Source organism: Homo sapiens, chromosome 11 (genome assembly GCF_000001405.40).
Source record: "Homo sapiens chromosome 11, GRCh38.p14 Primary Assembly".
Taxonomy (NCBI): Eukaryota; Metazoa; Chordata; class Mammalia; order Primates; family Hominidae; genus Homo; species Homo sapiens.
Window position 1 is genome coordinate 120,414,218 of NC_000011.10, and position 19,533 is coordinate 120,433,750.

The following is a 19,533-nucleotide window of genomic DNA, read 5'->3' on the forward strand; positions in this document are numbered from 1 at the left end:
TTCTAGGCAAAATATGATTTTTAAGAGACAGGAAATAAAGTTTGTTTTGTAACTAGAGGAGTTATTTTGGGGTAGATGGAAAAATCAAATTATTATAGTTGGAATTTTGCCAGGGCAGAAGGTTAATTAGCGTTCTTATAGAAATGTTCCTCTACTTTGCATAGTCTTCAAGGCTGTGATTTTTTTTCTAATTAGAAAATGTTTGAGTATTTTATTTAAAATTTCCTTTGTGTATAAAATTCAAATTTATTTAATAACTATTTAGTGAGCACCCATTACATGCCAGGCACTATACTAAGGCATAGAGATACAAAGATATAAGTGACTCTACCTACTTTCTGGTTGTTCACAGTCTGGTACAAAAGAATTGCAATACATTTTGATAAGTGCAGTGATAGAGATATGCACTCATTTACCATTACTCTATATGCACTTAAAAAAACAGCTGTGAAGAAATACTCATATGGCACCAAGAACAATGGGACGGAAGAAGTATTACTAGGACTAAGTCTTTTGTTTTTTTGAAAAACGTGTTTATTATTACTGTTATTTTTTGTAGAGAAGAGGTCTTGCTAAGTTGCCCAGGCTGTGCTCAAACTCCTGGCCTCAACCAGTCCTCTTGCCTTGGCCTCCCAAAACGTTGGGATTACAGGTGTGATCCACGGTGCCTGCCTGTCAGGATTACGTTTGAAGGAAGTTTAACTTTTTATACCAGTCTCACTGGTTTTACTTTTTGAACACTCTGCCTGTGTCTATGCAAAGTGCTGGCATATAGCACATATCAAAGTAATTAGGTGGCCTTACAGAACTCATATTCACAGATAGATACATTTGTATGGAAGTTATGATTAATAATCTTTATACCAGATGATAAAGGATTTAGCAACAAAACAAAACCATGGACTATATGAGTTGTAGAAATCAGAAAAAGTAAAAGTGATGAAAGCTGGTTTTTGGGTTTTTTTTTAATTAATGAAATTTGAAGATTGCTATTTTGGAGTTATGAGTCTACTTTTATCTTTGGCTTTCTCTGTAACATACAGGGCCTATTTTCTGTACCATTTTCTGATTCTTAAACATTGTCATTTTTTTCTCCATTTGTTTTCAGTATTGTCCTGCCAGGATTTTATGTTCTTTGAGAACAGAAACTCCAAGTAGTCTTGGGTTCTTCACAGCACCTATGAACTGCAGTGTTAAATAACTAGTATGGACAGATGCTCAATGCAAATTTGCTAAAACAAACAAAAGAAGTAGGATTTTTGTGTGTGTATGTCAAAAAGGATAGTACAAAGATATGATAATGTAGCCAGTATTGGTGATTTTAGTTCTACAGAGGGTGGAATTTTTCCCTCTGTGGTAGGTTAAAACAGCTTCTGGTCAACAAATAGAATATTTCTCTGAAGAAAAAGGGAAAACATTTCATTTGATTTTGAATGAGAGGGAACATAATAGATTTGAGCATTTGAAGGACTGGATTTCTGAATTTTGAATGGTAGGATGGCTTCGTTTTCAGTTAATTATTACCACAGATCTAAATTTATGCAGACACCACAGATAGACAGGACAGAATAGTATTGTTAATTTGAATTTTATAGATTCTGAATTGACTGTATGTGTAACACTTTTTATATTGGTCTACTGATTTAAAGTACATGTTAAAGTACATCAATCTCACATTAGCAGGTAAATATAAAATAATAAATGTGGCTAATACAGTGGATTTGGGGAGAAGAAAAAATTGAATAGGATGTGTGCATAGTTCTTTTTCCTTTTCCTCTTTATTCTTTGTCCCTCATCTCCTTTTGCTGTAGAATTAAGAGGGAAGGTTATCAGACTGAGACTGTTATGAATTGGAGATAAGAGATTTGCTGTATTCTGAAGTAATACTAATAGGTTTTCTTGATTCTTATTAATCTGTTAGGATTCTAGGCATATTTATAAAATTGACTGTGCATGGTGCTGTTTTTTTCTCTCCGATGACCTCCCTTTCTGAGCTTCCTTTCATCTCTAGACTTGTCTACTTGTCTGAATTTCATTAATTCATAAGCAATTTTTTTAAGTTTCCTTCTGTCCCAGAATACATGCAAGGTTCTGAGATAAGATTGTGATGAAGATACAGCCCCTGCACCTTTGGAGCATAAAATCCAATGAAAGAATAAAAACAAATACAAATCAGTGTGAGTAAGGGTGATACAGTAGGAGTACACAGAGGGTGCAGTGGGAGTCTGTAAGAGGGGCACCTAACTTCAGTATGCATATTTAGGAAAAGCTTGTAAGAAGACTGATTCTTTTCTTAAGGACGTCCAGCTGTCTCTCATCTTCTAAAGCTGCCTATAACAAGAAGCTCTGCCCTTTTAAATTTCCCTTCTGTCTTCCTTACCCATCCAAAACTACTTTCCTTGTTTGCTAAAAAACAAAACTTAGACATAAATCATAATTGATCCTCTTTTTTTTTTGAGATGGAGTCTTTGTTGCCAGGCTGGAGTGCAGTGGCGCGATCTCGGCTCACTGCATCCTCTGCCTCCTGGGTTCAAGCGATTCTCCTGCCTCAGCCTCCTGAGTAGCCTGGGACTACAGGCACGCGCCACCACGCACAGCTAGTTTTTGTATTTTTAGTAGGGACAGGGTTTCACCATGTTGGCCAGGATGGTCTCAATCTCTTGACTTCGTGATCCGCCCATCTCAGCCTTCCAAATGCGCCCAGCCAGAATTGATTCTCTTAAGGATCATTTGCATTAATTGATAGGAGTTTATTAACATAAAAGTACTTACAATTGTACTAGTAGCATGGATAGAGGAGAAAATCCAAGGTCAACCTCCCCTTAATCATAATAAAATAATATTTAACGTGTAGGAACCCTTAATATTTGTTAGACATTAAGCTAACTACTTTATATATTTTTTTATTCAAGTGAGAGGTGCAAACATAGCAAACTCCTTGACTCCAAATACCCGTTTCCCTCATGTTTTACAGGTGTCCTGTTCTCTGCAGGCATCTGAAAAAAGGTCTATTTAAGAAGCCCAGGTTGCTTAGCACTGCAGTCACCCATATTAGAAACCTTTAATTCATTAATTTTCAGCTTTTGTGAGGTGAGGTGGGAGAATGGAGAAGCACGAATATAGTATGAAAAAACGTATTCAGTGTTATAATTGCCTTGATTTCTAAAGTCACAGTATCTAATTTATTTTGAAATTTCAAATAACTATAAGGGAGGTTGTGAAATATTTGTTTCCAAAAGCAAGCATGGATTTTAAAAGGTTCCTGTAAAATGCTGCTTAGTCTAATAATTTTTTTTTTTTTTTTTTTTGAGATGGAGTCTCTCACTCTGTCACCCAGGCTAGGCTGGAGTGCAGTGGTGCAGTCTCGGCTCACTGCAACCTCCAGCTCCCAGATTCAAGCAGTTCTCCTGCCTCAGCCTCCCAAGTAGCTGAGATTACAGGTACCTACCACCATGCCAGGCTGATTTTGTTTTATCATGTTGGTCAGGCTGGTCTCACTCCTGACTTCATTCAGGTGATCCACCTGTCTCAGCCTACCAAAGTGCTGAGATTACAGGCATGAGCCACCATGCCTGGCCAGAATCTCTGATTCTATTTATTATATGCTAGAATTTATAAAGAATGCTTTTTTTAAACTTGATTTATATATTCATATCCTATTTTATAGGTGTCCTAATTACTTGAAGGAAGTAACACTGAACAGATAACAAAGGTTGAATTCTAATGTGTTATCACCTGACCTCATTACAATTTATTGTTTTGTGAGAGTGGTGAATATGTTATTTAGTATTTAGAAGTCTCTAGAATTTAGGGGTAACACATTTTTAAATGTTGAAAATCAACTTTATTGAGGTAAAATTTACATAAAATAAGATGCACTAATTGTAAGTGTATGGTTAGAAAATTTTGACAAATGACTATGCATACTCATGTAAACATTATCTTAAGAAACAGAACATTTCCATCACTGCAGAAAGTTCCTTCATTTCATTTTGCAGTCATTCCCACTCCTCTTCCGTGCTTCTCCCCTAGGCAGTTGCTATTCTGCTTTTTGTTGTTTTAGTTTAGTTTTTCCTTTTCTATGTTGGAGTCATGTAGTGTTTACTTTCTTACATACTGGTTTCTTTTGCTTACCATGATGTTTTTATGTTTCATCCATGTTTGTTGTATGAGTAGTCCTTTTCTTCCTTCCTAATACATTGTATGGACATACGACAGTTTGTTTATCCATTCATCCGTTGATAGACATTTGAGTTTCTAGTTTTGGGCTCTTATGAATAAAACTGCTGTGAACATTTGTGTATGTCTTTCTGTGGACACAAATTGTTCTTTCTCTTCAGAGTAAAATTAATGGATCATATGCAAATATATGCTTACCTTTATAAGAAATTTCCAAACAGTTTTCCAGAATGTTAGCACATTCCCACCAGCAATGTTATAATGTTCTAAGAGTTCTAGTTGCTCCACCTCTTTGCTACCACTGTTTATGATTAGCCAGACTAGTTGGTGTATAGTGGTATCTCATTGTGGTTTTAATTTGTATTTTCCTGACGACTGCAGCTGTTAAGCACCTTTACATGTGCTTATTGGCCATTGGTCTATCTTTGTAATGTGTTTATTTAAGTATTTTGCCCCCTTTAACATTTGTCTTCCATTATTGGCTGGAGAGTTGCATATAATCTGGATACAAATTCTTTATCAGATATCCATATTGTGAATATTTTCTCTGTGGTTTGCCTTTTCATTTTCTTTTTCTTTTTCTTTCTTTTTTTTTGTGACAGAGTCTCGCTCTGTCGCCCAGGCTGGACCCGCCTCCCAGGTTGGACCCGCCTCCCAGGTTCACGCCATTCTTCTGCCTCAGCCTCCCGAGTAGCTGGGACTACAGGCACCCGCCACCACGTTCGGCTAATTTTTTTGTATTTTTAGTAGAGACAGGGTTTCACTGTGTTAGCCAGGATGGTCTCGATCTCCTGACCTCATGATCCGCCCTTCTCGGCCTCCCAAAGTGCTGCGATTACAGGCCCGGCCTGCCTTTTCATTTTCTTACCAGTGTCTTTAGAATAGCAAATGTTTTAAATTTTTGTCCAGTTTCCTAGGTTTTTTTTCTTTTATGGTTTATAAACCCACCCTAAGGTCTTTTTTTAATGTTATAAAATATTTTGTTACATGTATTTTATCTGTTTTCTTTTTCTTTCTTTCTTCCTTTTTTGTTTTTTTAATACCCTAAGGTCTTGACGATTTCCTTTTGTGTTATCTTATGAAAAATTTTAGCTTATGTTTAGGCCCATGATCTGCTTTAATTTTTGTGTAGGTCATGAGTTCAAGGGTTAAGGTTCATGTTAAGCTACAGTAGGCTCATGTACTCATGATGTGTCATTATCAGCAAAAATAGATATGTATATACACTGTGTGTATATATATATAATTTGTTATATGTATATGTTTTCTATGAGCCATTGTACACACAGTCTATATATATTTTTTATTAACATATCTTTAGCATATCGTTTGGTTGGTAAATCAGACTTATATTTAAAAGATTGTGGCTTTTTGTATAAAAATCTTTAGAAAAAGTTTTTATTTTCTATTCATTATCTTTGTGTTGTTTTACCTGTTTTATATATTGACTTCGGTGAAATGCTTAGATCCTGCAAAGCTGAAAATATATGTTGTCTCTGGCTAACACAGAGTTCAAGATCTTCAGATCTGGTCTATGATAAAACAGCCCTGGGTACTAATCAGGGTTCTACCCTGGCAGGACATTTCTATTCCTCTGGCTGGGGCCCTCTTTCTCTCACCTTGCCCTGACAGTTTTCATTTGCTGTTTAGAAGAAACACAAATTCTCCCTTAGGAATCAGGTAAGTATATGAAAGAGATGAAGGAACTGGTTGAGCTCACAGATTCTTTATCTTTTCTATTTTTTTCTCTTTTCTGTTTCTGTTTTCTATAAGCCAGGGTTTTTCTTCCCCCTGAACTCTTCCTTTCTCTTCCCTTCTTTGGGGAATAACTTCAGGTACTCTGTAAGCACCTCCTTTCTTTTTACTGTTTTCCTGAGTATATTTTCTTGAGAGTGAGACTGGATTTCTGCAGAATTTTCCTTGAGATGCTCCTAGCCCCATGTCCTAAGATGGTTGATTTTTCTTGGGTTAAACACCAATTAGGGTACCAAAAACTCAGGGCAGTGGGGCAGGGGGAGAATTTTTTTACTACAGAGAAATAGCATGGATGTGAATGGGCTTTCCTTCTAGCTGTCTCATGTCTAATACTTAATATTTTGCAGTTTGCCATAGCTGTTTTTAATATTGGAGCAATTCTATTATACTCCGCCAGTGAGAAAACAGTATGTGTGACTCTGTGGTGTTCTTGTGTTTGCTTTGTTGATGGTGGTTAGTGTTCTTATTTTACCATGTGGATTTACATGTGCTACTTTTTGTTTCTCCAGATGGAACACAGTTTATTACTAATATATAATTATTGTCTTTTCCTTTCTCTGTTTTCTCTTCCTTCTTGTTTTACACTGTGGTTCTTGTGCAGGTCTTGTTCAGCGTTGCGTAATCATCCAGAAAGATGACAATGGATTTGGGCTGACGGTCAGTGGAGACAATCCAGTCTTCGTACAGTCTGTCAAAGAAGGCAAGGCATTTTAAAAAACAATTTATCACTCAGTAAACAGAGTAAGAATAGAAAAGCTTAAATAATGGCAATTGCCAAGAATAGAATAATTACATAGATTGCAGGTCATGTGGACTATTGTGCTAGATTCGTCTATCATGTCATAGTTACAGGAAGGAGTTTACTCCAGTTGATTTTTTTTTGTACTTGTTAGAAAGAAATCAGTTTTTATTTAGTTTTAGAAATCATGTGACTCCTTGGTCATGATACTTTATTGTCCACACAAAAGTTTCTGAAATTTCAGTTTTCCATGGCACCACTGATATTTTGGCAAAGACAGATTAAAGAGATAGCTATGGCTTCAGAAATACCATTTATTTTCCCAAAACAACAGTGATAATATTTTCTACTGCTGTTACCATATATTGAATACTTCCTTTATGTTGGGTGCTATAATTTTGAGGTAGACAATTTTTTTATCCCCATTTTATAGGTGATATTGAGGCTTAGAGTAAAGAAACATCAAATCAGTCCAAGGTCACACAACTAGTGAGTGGCAGAAGCAGCATTTGAATGTAAAGTCTGACTTTACAGCCTTGTTTTTTTTTTTTGTTTTTTTTTTTTTGGAGATGGAGTCTCCCTCTGTCACCAGACTGGAGTGCAGTGGCACAATCTAGGCTCACTGCAACCTCTGCCTCCTGGGTTAAAGCGACTCTCCTGCCTCAGCCTGCCGAGCAGCTGGGACTACAGGCACGTGCCACCACACCCAGTGAATTTTTGTATTTTTAGTAGAGACGGGGTTTTACCATGTTGGCCAGGATGGTCTCGATCTCTTGACCTCGTGATCCGCCCGCCTCGGCCTCCCAAAGGACAGCCCATGTTTTTAACCAGTTTGTTATACTGTCTCTCTGTCAGGAAGATGATCAGTAAATGCAAATGAATCACATTTTAAGCAATTAATTTCTCATACAGATGGAGCAGCCATGCGGGCTGGAGTACAGACAGGTGATCGAATCATCAAGGTAAGGAATAGGCTATTATAGAATTTACGGTAGGATTAAAAAACAACATATATTGGTCATATTCTGATTTTTTTCACTTGGATTTTTATAAAAAGCATCATACTTCTATGTATGATAGATCTGTTGACTATACAAACTTATTTCATTTGTTTTAAAATTAATACTACCCTTTACTGAAGGACGTAATAAAAGGATTGAAAATAATGGAGGAATATATGTTCTTGAGTAGGAGAGTAATTCAGGGTTGGAAAGATCATTTCTGTCTAGATTAGTCTGTTATTAAGCAATTCTCATCAAAGTACAAGTTGAACATTTCTAATCTGACACCTGAAATGCTCCCAACTCTGCAAGTTTTTGAGTACCAACATGACACCATGAATGGAAAATTTCACACCTGACCTCATGTGATGGGTCACAGTCAAAAGTTGGTTTCACCAGGTACAGTAGCTTGAGCCTGTATTACCAGCTACTCAGGAGGCTGAGGTGGGAGGATTGCTTGAGTGCAGGAGCTGAGACTGCAGTGCACTTTGATCATACCTGAGAATAGCCACAGCACTTCAACCTGGGCAATATAGTGAGACCCTGTCTTTACAAAACAAATAAAACCAAACCAAAACAAAAAACTTGGTTCCATGCACAAAAGTATTTAAAATGTATAAAACTACCTTCAGGCTATGTGTATAAGGTATATATGAAACATAAAAGGCTCATATTTAAACCTGGGTCTGATCCCCAAGATGTATCATTATGTATATACAAATATTCCAAACTTCAAAAAAATCCAAAACACTTCTTCTGGTACCAGGTATTTCAGATAAGCGATACCTGACCTGTATGCAAATAGAATTGTAGTGGTAGATGTCTATCTGATTATTCTTCCAGATGAACTTTATAAAGATATAAGAATCACTAAAGATAAAAACATGTTATATGTATGTGTATGTATGAGAAGAGATGTATATGACTCTAATCTAGATATAGACCTACCAGTGGAACACAACAGAGAGACTAGAAATAGATTTTGAATTCAGATCAGTAGAGAAAGAATGGGTTAGTTAGTAACTATTCTTTAAATAATTGACTAATTTGATTACTTAAAATCAAATTATTACATAAGAAAACATACCATGAAAAATAATTTGGAAGAAATATCTGAAACGTATCACAGACCAGATATCCTTAAATTTAAAGAACACTTTTAAATTATAAGAAAGGAATAAATATTCTAAAAGAAAAATGGGCAAAGAATTTTATCAGGCAGTTCCCTAAAGTAACTGAAATACATAACATATTAATGAGGATATGGCCAACCTCACTGATAACAAAGAAGAAGAAATTAAAATGATAGGTGAAAAATACATTTGGCTGTCAGAAAATTTAAAGATTGGTAATACACATTTAGTATAGTTTGGGTATGGTAAAATGACTATTCTCATGAGTTCGTTGTGAGTATAAATTAGGTAAAACCTGTTTGGATGAAAGTCTGTGAATATGTATCAAAAGCCTTTAAGAAAGTATATAACATGTGACAAGCAATTTTGCTTTTAGGAACTTATCTGAGGAAATAAGTGTACAAATGTGAAGTCGTGTGTACAGGGAAATTTGTACTGGCTTTATTACATAACTGTGCATAAACTGAGGGACAGAGAAATAAATTATATTCCATTTGCAGCTTTTGAAAAGAATGGATTAGGTCAGTGTGTATCTTTATTGAAAGATAGCTGCCGTACAGTGAAAAAAAAGTTTTATTTTTTTTTTCCAGGAAAAAGCCAGTCGTAATGTATAATGTTTATGTGTCTCTTTGGTGTGTGTATACTAGAAAAGTGTCTCCAAAATTAAATGTCATAGCTAACAGTAACTGCCTCATGGGGCAGGATGAGTATACTTGTACTTCTGTTTTTTACACTGATATATTTGTATTTTAGATAACTTGGATCAGAGAATTAATCAGAAAATTAATGTTAAATCCACATTTGATAGTTTTGCCTTGATTTGTTTGGTTTAATTCAGAATCGGGATAACATTTTCTACATTTAGCCGGTCTGAAAATTAATTTTCTTTGTGAAGATTAGATCATGGTTGAAAAACTAAAAGCAAATTGAATATTGTGGAAATACTTATTTTAAAAATTATTTTTTATTATTAATTTTGACAAATTGATGACTTGGTAATTAAAAGCAAAGAGATCTTTTCTATTTGTATGAGCCCTTCACCGTGAACGATTTGTAAATCTGTTTCATGTTATGTTTTGTCATTTGTCATGGTGAATAAGTTGTACTGTTTTGTATGTCAAGGCCTCGGTTTATGTTTAAGTTCATTTTGTTGCTGAATATGCCCTGTAGAATCATGGTGTGAAAATGAATATTGAATCAAATACATAAATATTTTAATGTAATGTGATTACTATATTATATTGGTTATATTATGTATGATAATTCTTGAAGTCATTTTATCCATTGTCTCAATAGAATGTATCTGACATACACTACTTTCGTTTTCTTACAGGTGAATGGAACTCTGGTGACTCATTCAAATCATCTGGAGGTGGTGAAGCTAATCAAATGTAGGTGAATGTTATTCTTAGTTTTAATTGTTTTCTGAAACCCTTAAAGTAAGGAGCAGCAAATTTCCTGTAATAGGCCAAATAGTAAATATTTAGGCTATGTGGACTATATAGTCTACTGCCGACTCTGTCATTGTATCATGAAAGCAGCCATAGACTATATGTAAATGAATGGGTGTGGCTGAGCTTCAGTAAAACTTTATTTGCCAAAAGTCTGTGATCCTGGTTTAGCCCCTTGGCTGGAGTTTGCTGATCCCTGCATTGAAGGAAAATCTGAGGTGAAAACTCTTAGCTTACTAATAGCTATCTTTTGTCAACTCCATTTATATGGTTGATTATAATATTCCTGTCATTCTTGGTAATATTTGATACATATATTTGAAAGAAATGCATGAGTCACCTGAGAGGAAGGAGGTTGAGAAGTCAGACATATGGCCTGATGAACTGAAATGGAACTTTAAAAATCATCTAGCACAATCACTTTCCCTCAGATAAGTAAATGATTATATAATCCAGAGTAGCGATCTTCTCTTGGAAATCTTTAGGGTTAAGAATTTGTGATCTTCAGGTTTGAGTGAATAGCCCACTTGGACTTAGTTCTCTGTGGAGAAACAGGCTTGAAGCAGTGGGAGTCTGCAGCTAACCTCCCGTCACTTGCAGGGTCAAAGGTGGATTCACGAACCTCGAGCTGGCAGTGAGTTATGGGCAAGCCAGGCCTCAGCCACTCACAGGGCCTCAGTTTTCCCATCTGCACAGGGAGAAGGGAAGGTTCAGTGGCCCTGTGAGCTTTGCTAGCAGGTGGTGATGGGGTGGGTCATCTGAATCTGAGTCAGGTGGAATCTTCCCCAACCTGGGCTTTGGTTTCATTTTGTTGTTATCCTTTAACCTTACCTGCTTTCCAAGAGAGATTTTATGTTTTCTTGGTTTTTTTTTTTTTTTTGTTTGTTTGTTTTTAGGGTAGGGTCTTGTAGAATGCAATGGTGCAATTATAGCTCACTACAGCCTCCAACTTCTGGGTTCAAGTGATCCTCCCACCTTGTTTTTTGTTTTTTGTTTTGTCTTGTTTTTTTGGTAGAGACAGGGTTTTGCTGTGTTCCCCAGGCTGCTGTCAAACTCCTGGGCTCACCCATCTCAGCCTCCTAAAGCGCTGGGATTACAGGCACGAGCCACTATACCTGGCCAAGATTTTATATTTTCTAATTGCTTCACATACTGAATGGAAAATAGCATGACAGTTATAACAGAAGTAAAGAAAGTCACATGAGAGTCCACCACCTAAAATATAACTTCCTTTTTCTTTGTTCTGGCCTGGTTTGGGCCGTATGTATTTGTTATTGTATCTCTTAAAAAAAAAAAAAAAAAGAGAGAGACTGCTTGAACTGAATGAAATTTTTTTAAAAAAGGAATTAAAAAAAGAATTTATGATCTTCTGCATCAGATTATTCCACAGTAAAGTAGACTAGAAATAAGAGATAGTTGTTTGTGATCAATCAGAATCACTACTGTTTTATTTAATTCTGTTTCTCTGTATTGGGTGGATGGACATCTTCAAAAGAAATTTAATAAACTAACTTTTTTCTTGGCCTTTTTACTGCTATGTTAAGCAACTATGAAATTTTTTAAACTTTTTCATCAGAGTACCAGTGCTCCAAATGGTCACTTTGATCAGCGTTCTTTAGTTTAAAAGAGTGCAGTGATCAAAATTAGATCCCCATACTTGAATAAACTTGACCACTTATTTAATGAGAATGTGATTTATAAATTGTTATGTGCTGCATAAATATGGTTTATGTTAATGAGTTTATGCCTGATGTCCATTGAGGTGTATAAAAACATTTCTTTAGCTTTCTAGGTTATATTTTTTGCTCATTCCAGTATAAATTTTACTTAAAAAATTAAATCCTGGGATTCTAGCAATAAATTACTTACCCAATAGTAAGGGCATAGCTAAAAACTTAAAGTAAAGCATAAAAACCTCTGCATATCCAAAACTGATGTAAATTTGACATCACATCTGTAAAGCCTGGGTGTATGTAACAGAGTTCCTGCATGTCCTACTTTCTAATGTGTATTCTGGATATAATAAAAGTGATATCAAATCAGAGCAGTTTAGAAACAGCTAAAGAAAGGAAGGGAAAAGCTAGGAAGCTATTAAAACCAAATACATAGGCAAGTGAGATATAATAGATGACTTTCTGATAGAGAGCAATAAGATTGAAGAGCCTTAGAAAGTGTTTATATGTAAAATTCCTCCAAATTATAACACTTGTGAGTATTATACATAGCAAAACTAGTTTTTAGAACACCAAAACACTGTGAAATAATTGATAATGATTTCCATGGGAGGGTTAAATTGGGAGACAAGTGTGAAATACATTTAAAAGTTCTATTGAAATATCTAAGAAAAAAGTTTTGCCATATCTATTACTGACTCTGATTATGGTGTTTTTTTTTGTTTTTGTTTTTGTTTTTGTTTTTTGAGACGAATTCTTGTTCTGTCACCCAGGCTGGCGTGCAGTGGCGCAATCTCGGCTCACTGCAACCTCCGCCTCCCAGGTTCAAGTGATTCTCCTGCCTCAGCTTCCCTAGTAGCTGAGACTACAGGCATGTGCCACCACGCCCGGCTAATTTTTTGTATTTTTAGTAGAGACTGGGTTTCACCATGTTAGCAAGGCTGGTCTTGATCTCCTGAACTTGTGATCTGCCTGCCTCAGCCTCCCAAAGTGCTGAGATTACAGGCATGAGCCACCATGCCTGGCCTGATTATGGTGATTTTTGCTGTCTAGATTCCCGCCCCCCGCAATATGTCTACTGAATTCCTGTCCATTCCTCCAAATATTTTCTACTAAAATTTACTACTTATTATTGATTGTGTTTTTCCCTGTTATTGTGGAATATTTTTTGGTCATACTCATTTTGTAAAGTTAATTTAAAATTGCATTTTATGTTCTAGCATATTCACTAAACCCTGCCTAGTTAGTGTCATCTTAAAATATGAAGATCTAGGCCAGGTGCTGTGTCTCACACCTCTAATCCTAGCACCTTGGGAGGCCAAGGCGGGTGGATCGCTTGAGCTCAGGAGTTTAAGACCAGCCTGGGCAACATGGCGAAACCCTATCTTTAAAAAAAAAAAACATTGCAGCTACTTGTGGGGGCTGAGGAGGGAGGATTGCTTGAACCCAGGAAGTCGAGGCTGCAGTGAGCTGAGATCGTGCCGCGGCACTCCAGCCTGGGTGACAAAGTGAGACCCTAATTAAAAAAAAAAAAGAAGATTTAAAAAATTTACATTTAAGAAATTAATTAAACATAGCCACTAATAGATGGTTGATTTTAACACTCCTCTAAATAAAGAAAATATATAATATATTCTTGGAGTTATAAATTTTATTTGCTTTTAAGTAATATCTGATCTTACTAGTAGTAACTTGCTATCTGAAAACGGCATCATTCTTTTGGATTTTTAGGGCAGTCATAAAAGAGAAATGACAAATTAGTTTTTTTTTCTGTGGAGACATGATGTAGCAGATGATGGGACTGTCTTACATAACTGGATCTTTTAGAACTATCGAAGATTAAGTAGTAAAATGGTATAAAAAGTTTCTTGACAATGTTATTTTCCCTTCCCTTCCCTTTTTCCGTCTCCCCACCCCAAGCTGGTTCCTATGTAGCTCTCACTGTTCAGGGACGCCCACCTGGGTCGCCCCAGATTCCACTTGCCGACTCTGAAGTAGAGCCGTCAGTCATTGGACATATGTCTCCCATCATGACATCTCCTCATTCACCTGGAGCATCTGGGAATATGGAGAGAATCACTAGTCCTGTGCTCATGGGGGTAAGAATGGGGAAATTTCTTAGTTAAATGCTCAGTCTTATAAGGATGTGTTTACTTTATATGGAGAGTTTTCAAGTATTCGGCTGATGAACTAATTAAATTTAAGATTTTAGAAAATGATTTACTAATATAAAAATTACATAATAGGAATGATTAGAATATTGTCATAGCAGATTTAATTTAACAAGTATTAGACACCTGCCATATGTAAAACAGTGTGCCACCCACAGAAATATAGTTAAGGTACTCTATGTTCAAGATTATAGTCATCTTAGAATGTGTACTTTTAGGAGGGCGGGGATTTTTGTTTATTTTGTTTACTGTTACGTTTCCAGTACCTGAAATATTGCTTAGCATGTAGAAGGTGCTTAACAAAGCTTTGTTGATTGAGATTAAGTCAAGAGTATACAAGTAACTATAATACAAGGCAGAATGTAGACATTATGAGGGCAAAAAAAATGCTAAGTTCTATGAGGATTCAAAGGAGGGAGAAAGCACATAGAAGAAGAACAATAAATAGAAGGAGCCAAAAAAGCATCAAATATTGTGGAGAAGTAGCTAGGATTTTTGGTTGGTTGGTGCCTGTTAAGGATGTGCATAGTGGGAGATGAACTTGAAAATAGTAGGTTGACTATATATTTTGAAAAGTCACATCTCCCAAGCTAATTTACATGTAACTAGATAAGCAGTAAGAATCCATTCAATGTTGTTTCTTTTTAAGCAAAAGAGTACATGATTATCCTAGGATTATAGGAAGACTAATTTGGTAAAATATTATAGGGTTGTGAAACAAGGAGGGATGATGGGTGATGAATTAGGGAGCTGTCTTCATATTTCAGGTAAGAGGTACTGGGAGTTTGAGCTATGCATGGGGATCGATAGTAAAGATCCAAATGAGGGAAAGTAAAAGATACTATTCTTATACTAAGACAACTTCATTTCTCCAATATCAATATTTAGTGTTCTCTTGAATCCAGTTTAGTAAAAATGAAATAGAAGGGCAGACATTTCCTTGTAGTTTCTTGTAAGTGTCATGTCTGAAAGCCTGTCCACATAACCCGGAAGTAAAAACCTAATAGGTATTGATAATTGGAGCCGAGGCAGAACTTTGTATGCCACATTTTCTCTATTTATTTTAGCTTCATTTTGTCTATACTGGTTGTTGTTTGTTTTTTATCTTTTTCTTTTCTAGGAGGAAAACAATGTGGTTCATAACCAGAAAGTAGAAATTCTGAGAAAAATGTTACAGAAAGAACAGGAACGGCTACAGGTATTAAATGAGAAGTAGGGCTGTTTACAGGCCAATAAAAATGTGAGTGGGCATGGTTGAGTTGGTGTTTATCAGTCACAATCAAGCAGCATTGTAACCAATGCCATTAGTTATATTATTGATTAAGAATGGACTATTTCTGTATCTTTTTTACATAAGTAATTAATTCTGAAAATATTTTTATAACTTTTCAGTTATTGCAGGAAGATTACAACCGAACACCTGCCCAAAGATTGCTAAAAGAGATCCAAGAGGCCAAGAAACACATTCCTCAGCTGCAAGAGCAGTTATCCAAAGCCACAGGCTCTGCTCAGGTAGCATCACTATTACAAGTGCTACCCAACTTTTTGCAGGAGAATTTTCTTCTGGGAATGTGTCAGAGAATGTTGCAGTTGCCTTTTTTAAAGTTATTTTTCTAGCGTAGGACAACAGGATGTCCTGTTAAGGATGTTACAGAAGTAATGATTAACAAAAATAAATGTGGGCGTCTGATTGTTTGCTTGCTCATGAGATCACATTTCTTTGTTCCATAATAATTTAAAAAAGAATTGAGTGCTTTTGCTTTGATGTGACAAACTACTAAAATGTATTTAGATATATATATATATTTATATTTTTTGTGGTTCATTCTGCCATCTTAAAACAGAATGGCAGTTGATATGTTTTTAAATAGGAATTTAAGAATTTACAACAACAGGCATTGAGCTAAATATATGGACAAGCATTTTCTTATTTAATCTGCATAACATCTCTGAGGTTACTTATGGTTGTTTTCCTCCAGTTTACATATATACTTAGAGAGAGTTAGAGAGATTAAATGACTTGTCTGAGGTCATATAGCTGCAAAGTAATAGAACTGGAATTCAAACCCAGTCTGAGGATTTAAAAGCACATTCATACTCTTAATGACTATATTTTTATTGTAATTTAAAAATAGATTTCAGTAGAATTTGCTGTATAGTTATAAGCTATAGAGATAATGGTCTCATAAGAAAAAAAAAGCTCAGCATTTATATGTTAACCAGACTTACATTCTGTAATATTCAGATTTGGGATATGTAAAGCACCTTGTACTTCATCTTAAAGCAAAGTAGATAAATTGCCTATACATTTAAAATAGGTAAAAGCTGTTTTTTTGTCACTGTTCCCGAGTTAAATCTGAAGGGAAGGCTGCATATTCGCAAAAGAATTCTTTGAGATCATCTAGCCTAATCTGCTTACTTTCTGATTTAAAAAAATTATGTTATAATTGAGAAACCTAGGGTCTAAACTGGTTAAATCACCTATACAAGGCCATACAGTATGTAAGGTCCCCTGACATCCTGGTTTAGTGTACTTTTCATTCCATTGTTTTTTTCATTACCTTCAGTCCCAGTAGCGATGTCACATTTTGAGTGTTACACCTCAGTAATGTTGACAGTTTTATGTTATTACTAGGCAAATATAATATTCTTACCCTGTTTGGACAGCAATCTAAATGCTTATAACCTGGCCAGGCGCAGTGGCTCACACCTGTAATCCCAGCACTTTGGGAGGCCGAGGCGGGCAGATCATCTGAGGTCGGGAGTTTGAGACCATCCTGGCCAACATGGTGAAACTCCGACTCTACTAAAAATAAAAAAATTAGACAAGCTTGGTGGTGCATGCCTGTAATCCCAGCTACTCGGGAGGCTGAGGCAGGAGAATGGCTTGAACCATGGAGGCGGAGGTTACAGTGAGCCGAGATCCTGCCACTACACTCCAGCCTGGGTGACAGAGCAAGACTCCATCTCAAATTAAATAAATAAATAAATGCTTATAACCTGATCTAAATGCTTATAATAATTTATGTTATAGTATTATGTCCTAGAATTGGCCATTGATTGACACTCTGAAGCATTGGAAGGTAGTTAACAAGAAACTATAGGGTAATAACCTTTATTAATGGGCAGACAATATAAATTATATAAATATAAATTACATAAATTAACAAACCATTTTATCTTTTTGCTATATTTAGAAGTTTGAACTTACATTCTTTTTACCAAAATATCACTTGCCCTGTCTTTAAGGTCATGACATTTTAGAATACCGGAATTAGTAGTTATTTATGGATTTTACTCGTAGAATTTTAAACATACTTGAGCATATCAGAATGTCCAACTTTTAGTAGTCTCCATGTAGATTGTAGTACCACTATTTCTTTATGCAGCAAGTAATGAAAGTTTTCTTTTATGTGTTTGTGTGCGCGTGTTTTTCTTTCATCTGTTTTAGGATGGAGCTGTAGTTACACCCTCCAGACCTTTAGGGGACACCCTAACAGTCAGTGAGGCAGAAACAGATCCTGGAGATGTACTGGGCAGGACTGACTGTAGCAGTGGAGATGCTTCTCGGCCCAGTAGTGACAATGCAGATGTAAGCTTTCAGTTTTCTAAATCTTTTTTCTTCTGTATTCTTCTTTACAGCCCCTTTCTAGATTTGATTTTAAGTGATGTGAATTAGAGGTGTCTTAGCACTTTTTACCATCCCCATTTTTAATGTACCAATTTGATAAACAGAAATCTGGTTACTGTTATATATAAGCTTTTAATTCCAGAGTTCACTTTTTCCCTTGAACACCCATTGCCAACTGTTTCTTTTACAGGGATGGAATTTCCCAGCAGGCATCTTGTTCGTGGGTAGAGAAGTTACTAATGCCAGTGCATTTTTACTGAACCGAGAGACCAACTGTTGATATCTTTAAGAGCATGTTAATATTCCATTTGTGGTCAGAGTGACTCAGTCTTGAATCATGGGGCACTTTGCCATTACCAAGAGGAAAAACCTCAGTCCTGTTAGATAGGCTTCAGTTAATAGCCCAGGTTTAGTGACAGCACTTTCTTGATTAACCCAGAAACTGCCAGATGAACATGACTATCTGTTAAGATGATAATAAAACATTTTAAGCTGAATATGATGTAACACCATAGACATATGAATACCTAAAAGCTAAGTTCAGTATTACTTACCCAGCAATACTTTGTAAATTGTATGCAGTGGTAGGAATAATGACTTAAATGTAGATCACCCTCTTTAAAAGTGATGAGGGAAGAAGTCTGAACGAATGTTTTGTAATTGTGGGTCATGAAATCAATTTTGTGGGTTGTATTTCTTTTTTAAAAAAAGAATAGGAAATACAGTGCTTTGCATATAGAAGAGGTGTCACTTCTTGGGACTTTTGTTACATATACACACATCTACTATTTAACAATGTGAAGTTTCTCTCTTATTGAAGGTTGTTGTTGGGGGATTGTTTTGTTTTGTTGTTTTTTAAAAAGGAAGCCGTGGTCTAAGCCATCATTCAGGCTATCTCTTGAGGCTTAGGCCCAATGACCCAGTTCCTCATGCAAAAAACAAACTGAGGATTTGTGGGTTTTTTGTTTTGTTTTGTTTTGTTTTTTAAGGTAGTGATAGGAGTCTTGTGATTGGGTTAGCTAAAGGTTTTAATGGAAAATTTCAATTTGGGCTCAAGGAAAAAATGGTAGTCACTAATATTTGTTGGGTATATGTCCCATACACGGTGATAAGGTTTTATGTTCCTTAGTTAATTCTCAAAACAGCCTTATGAAGTAGTACTGTTGTTACTGTAACTTTACAAAAGAAAAAATTGAGGCCAAAGGGAGTTAACTAACTTTCCAAACTTATTCAGGCAATAGGTGATCTACTTCCACCTAGCTCCAAAATACCAGTAATCGAAATATAAACAAAAGCACTGAGGTTTGAAAATGCGTAACATTTTGAGAGAGCAGTGAGAATTTTAGGGCAACCTGGCATATTAGGGTTATAGATGGAATGGCTAGAGATTATCTTAGAAGCCAAATCATGAATCCAGGTTATAAAGGGCTTCAACTTGTTCTAGCAGTACATACCGCTTTTGGGAATGCTTTTCGTACTCTTCTTTTTGTTTTAGTAATGCGTCTCCTCGCTGTTTTCATGGCTTGTCCCTACCATGAGATGGGAAGTTCCTTGAGAGCAGAGGGACTGTCTTGTCTGACTTTATGTTTCCAAAGTGTAGCAAATTGTAGGCATTCAGAGCAAATGATACGAATGAGAAATTTGAATTTTATCTTGTATTTAGAGGAATGTTACAATAAAACATGTGACTTAGAAATATAACCTTATAAAAGAGTGAATTGTTGGCTGGGCGCCGTGGATCACGCCTGTAATCCCAGCACTTTGGGAGGCCAAGGCAGGCCAGTCACAAGGTCAGGAGTT

General features: G+C 35.9%; 1 protein-coding gene across 19 annotated transcripts in view, besides 2 other annotated features; it reads left to right on the forward strand.

The window, feature by feature from the left end:
* The window catches only part of ARHGEF12 (Rho guanine nucleotide exchange factor 12), a 153,525-nt gene that overhangs the window by 77,805 nt on the left and 56,187 nt on the right, over window positions 1–19,533 (forward strand). For 11 of the 19 annotated variants that reach the window (NM_015313.3, XM_006718805.4, NM_001198665.2 and 8 more), the window contains 7 exons: window positions 6,536–6,634; window positions 7,586–7,635; window positions 10,141–10,198; window positions 13,852–14,030; window positions 15,223–15,300; window positions 15,495–15,614; window positions 17,554–17,694. In NM_015313.3, coding sequence (NP_056128.1) covers window positions 6,536–6,634; window positions 7,586–7,635; window positions 10,141–10,198; window positions 13,852–14,030; window positions 15,223–15,300; window positions 15,495–15,614; window positions 17,554–17,694 — 725 coding nt within the window. The remainder of the gene's footprint in view (window positions 1–6,535; window positions 6,635–7,585; window positions 7,636–10,140; window positions 10,199–13,851; window positions 14,031–15,222; window positions 15,301–15,494; window positions 15,615–17,553; window positions 17,695–19,533) is intronic. The other 8 variants (XM_047426659.1, XM_047426661.1, XM_017017420.2 and 5 more) reach the window with 1 other exon arrangement.
* Window positions 3,062–3,206: an enhancer, noted in NCBI's record as "145 bp 11:120288060 sequence used in MPRA reporter constructs". NCBI's record gives its function as "activates a minimal TATA-containing promoter with rs11217861 allelic activity by MPRAs in C283T melanocytes and UACC903 melanoma cells {active_cell/tissue: C283T | UACC903}" and the evidence as "EXISTENCE:reporter gene assay evidence [ECO:0000049][PMID:36423637]".
* Window position 3,134: a transcriptional cis regulatory region, noted in NCBI's record as "rs11217861 or 11:120288060 MPRA-significant variant associated with a GWAS melanoma risk locus at 11q23.3". NCBI's record gives its function as "allelic transcriptional activity by MPRAs in C283T melanocytes and UACC903 melanoma cells {active_cell/tissue: C283T | UACC903}" and the evidence as "EXISTENCE:reporter gene assay evidence [ECO:0000049][PMID:36423637]".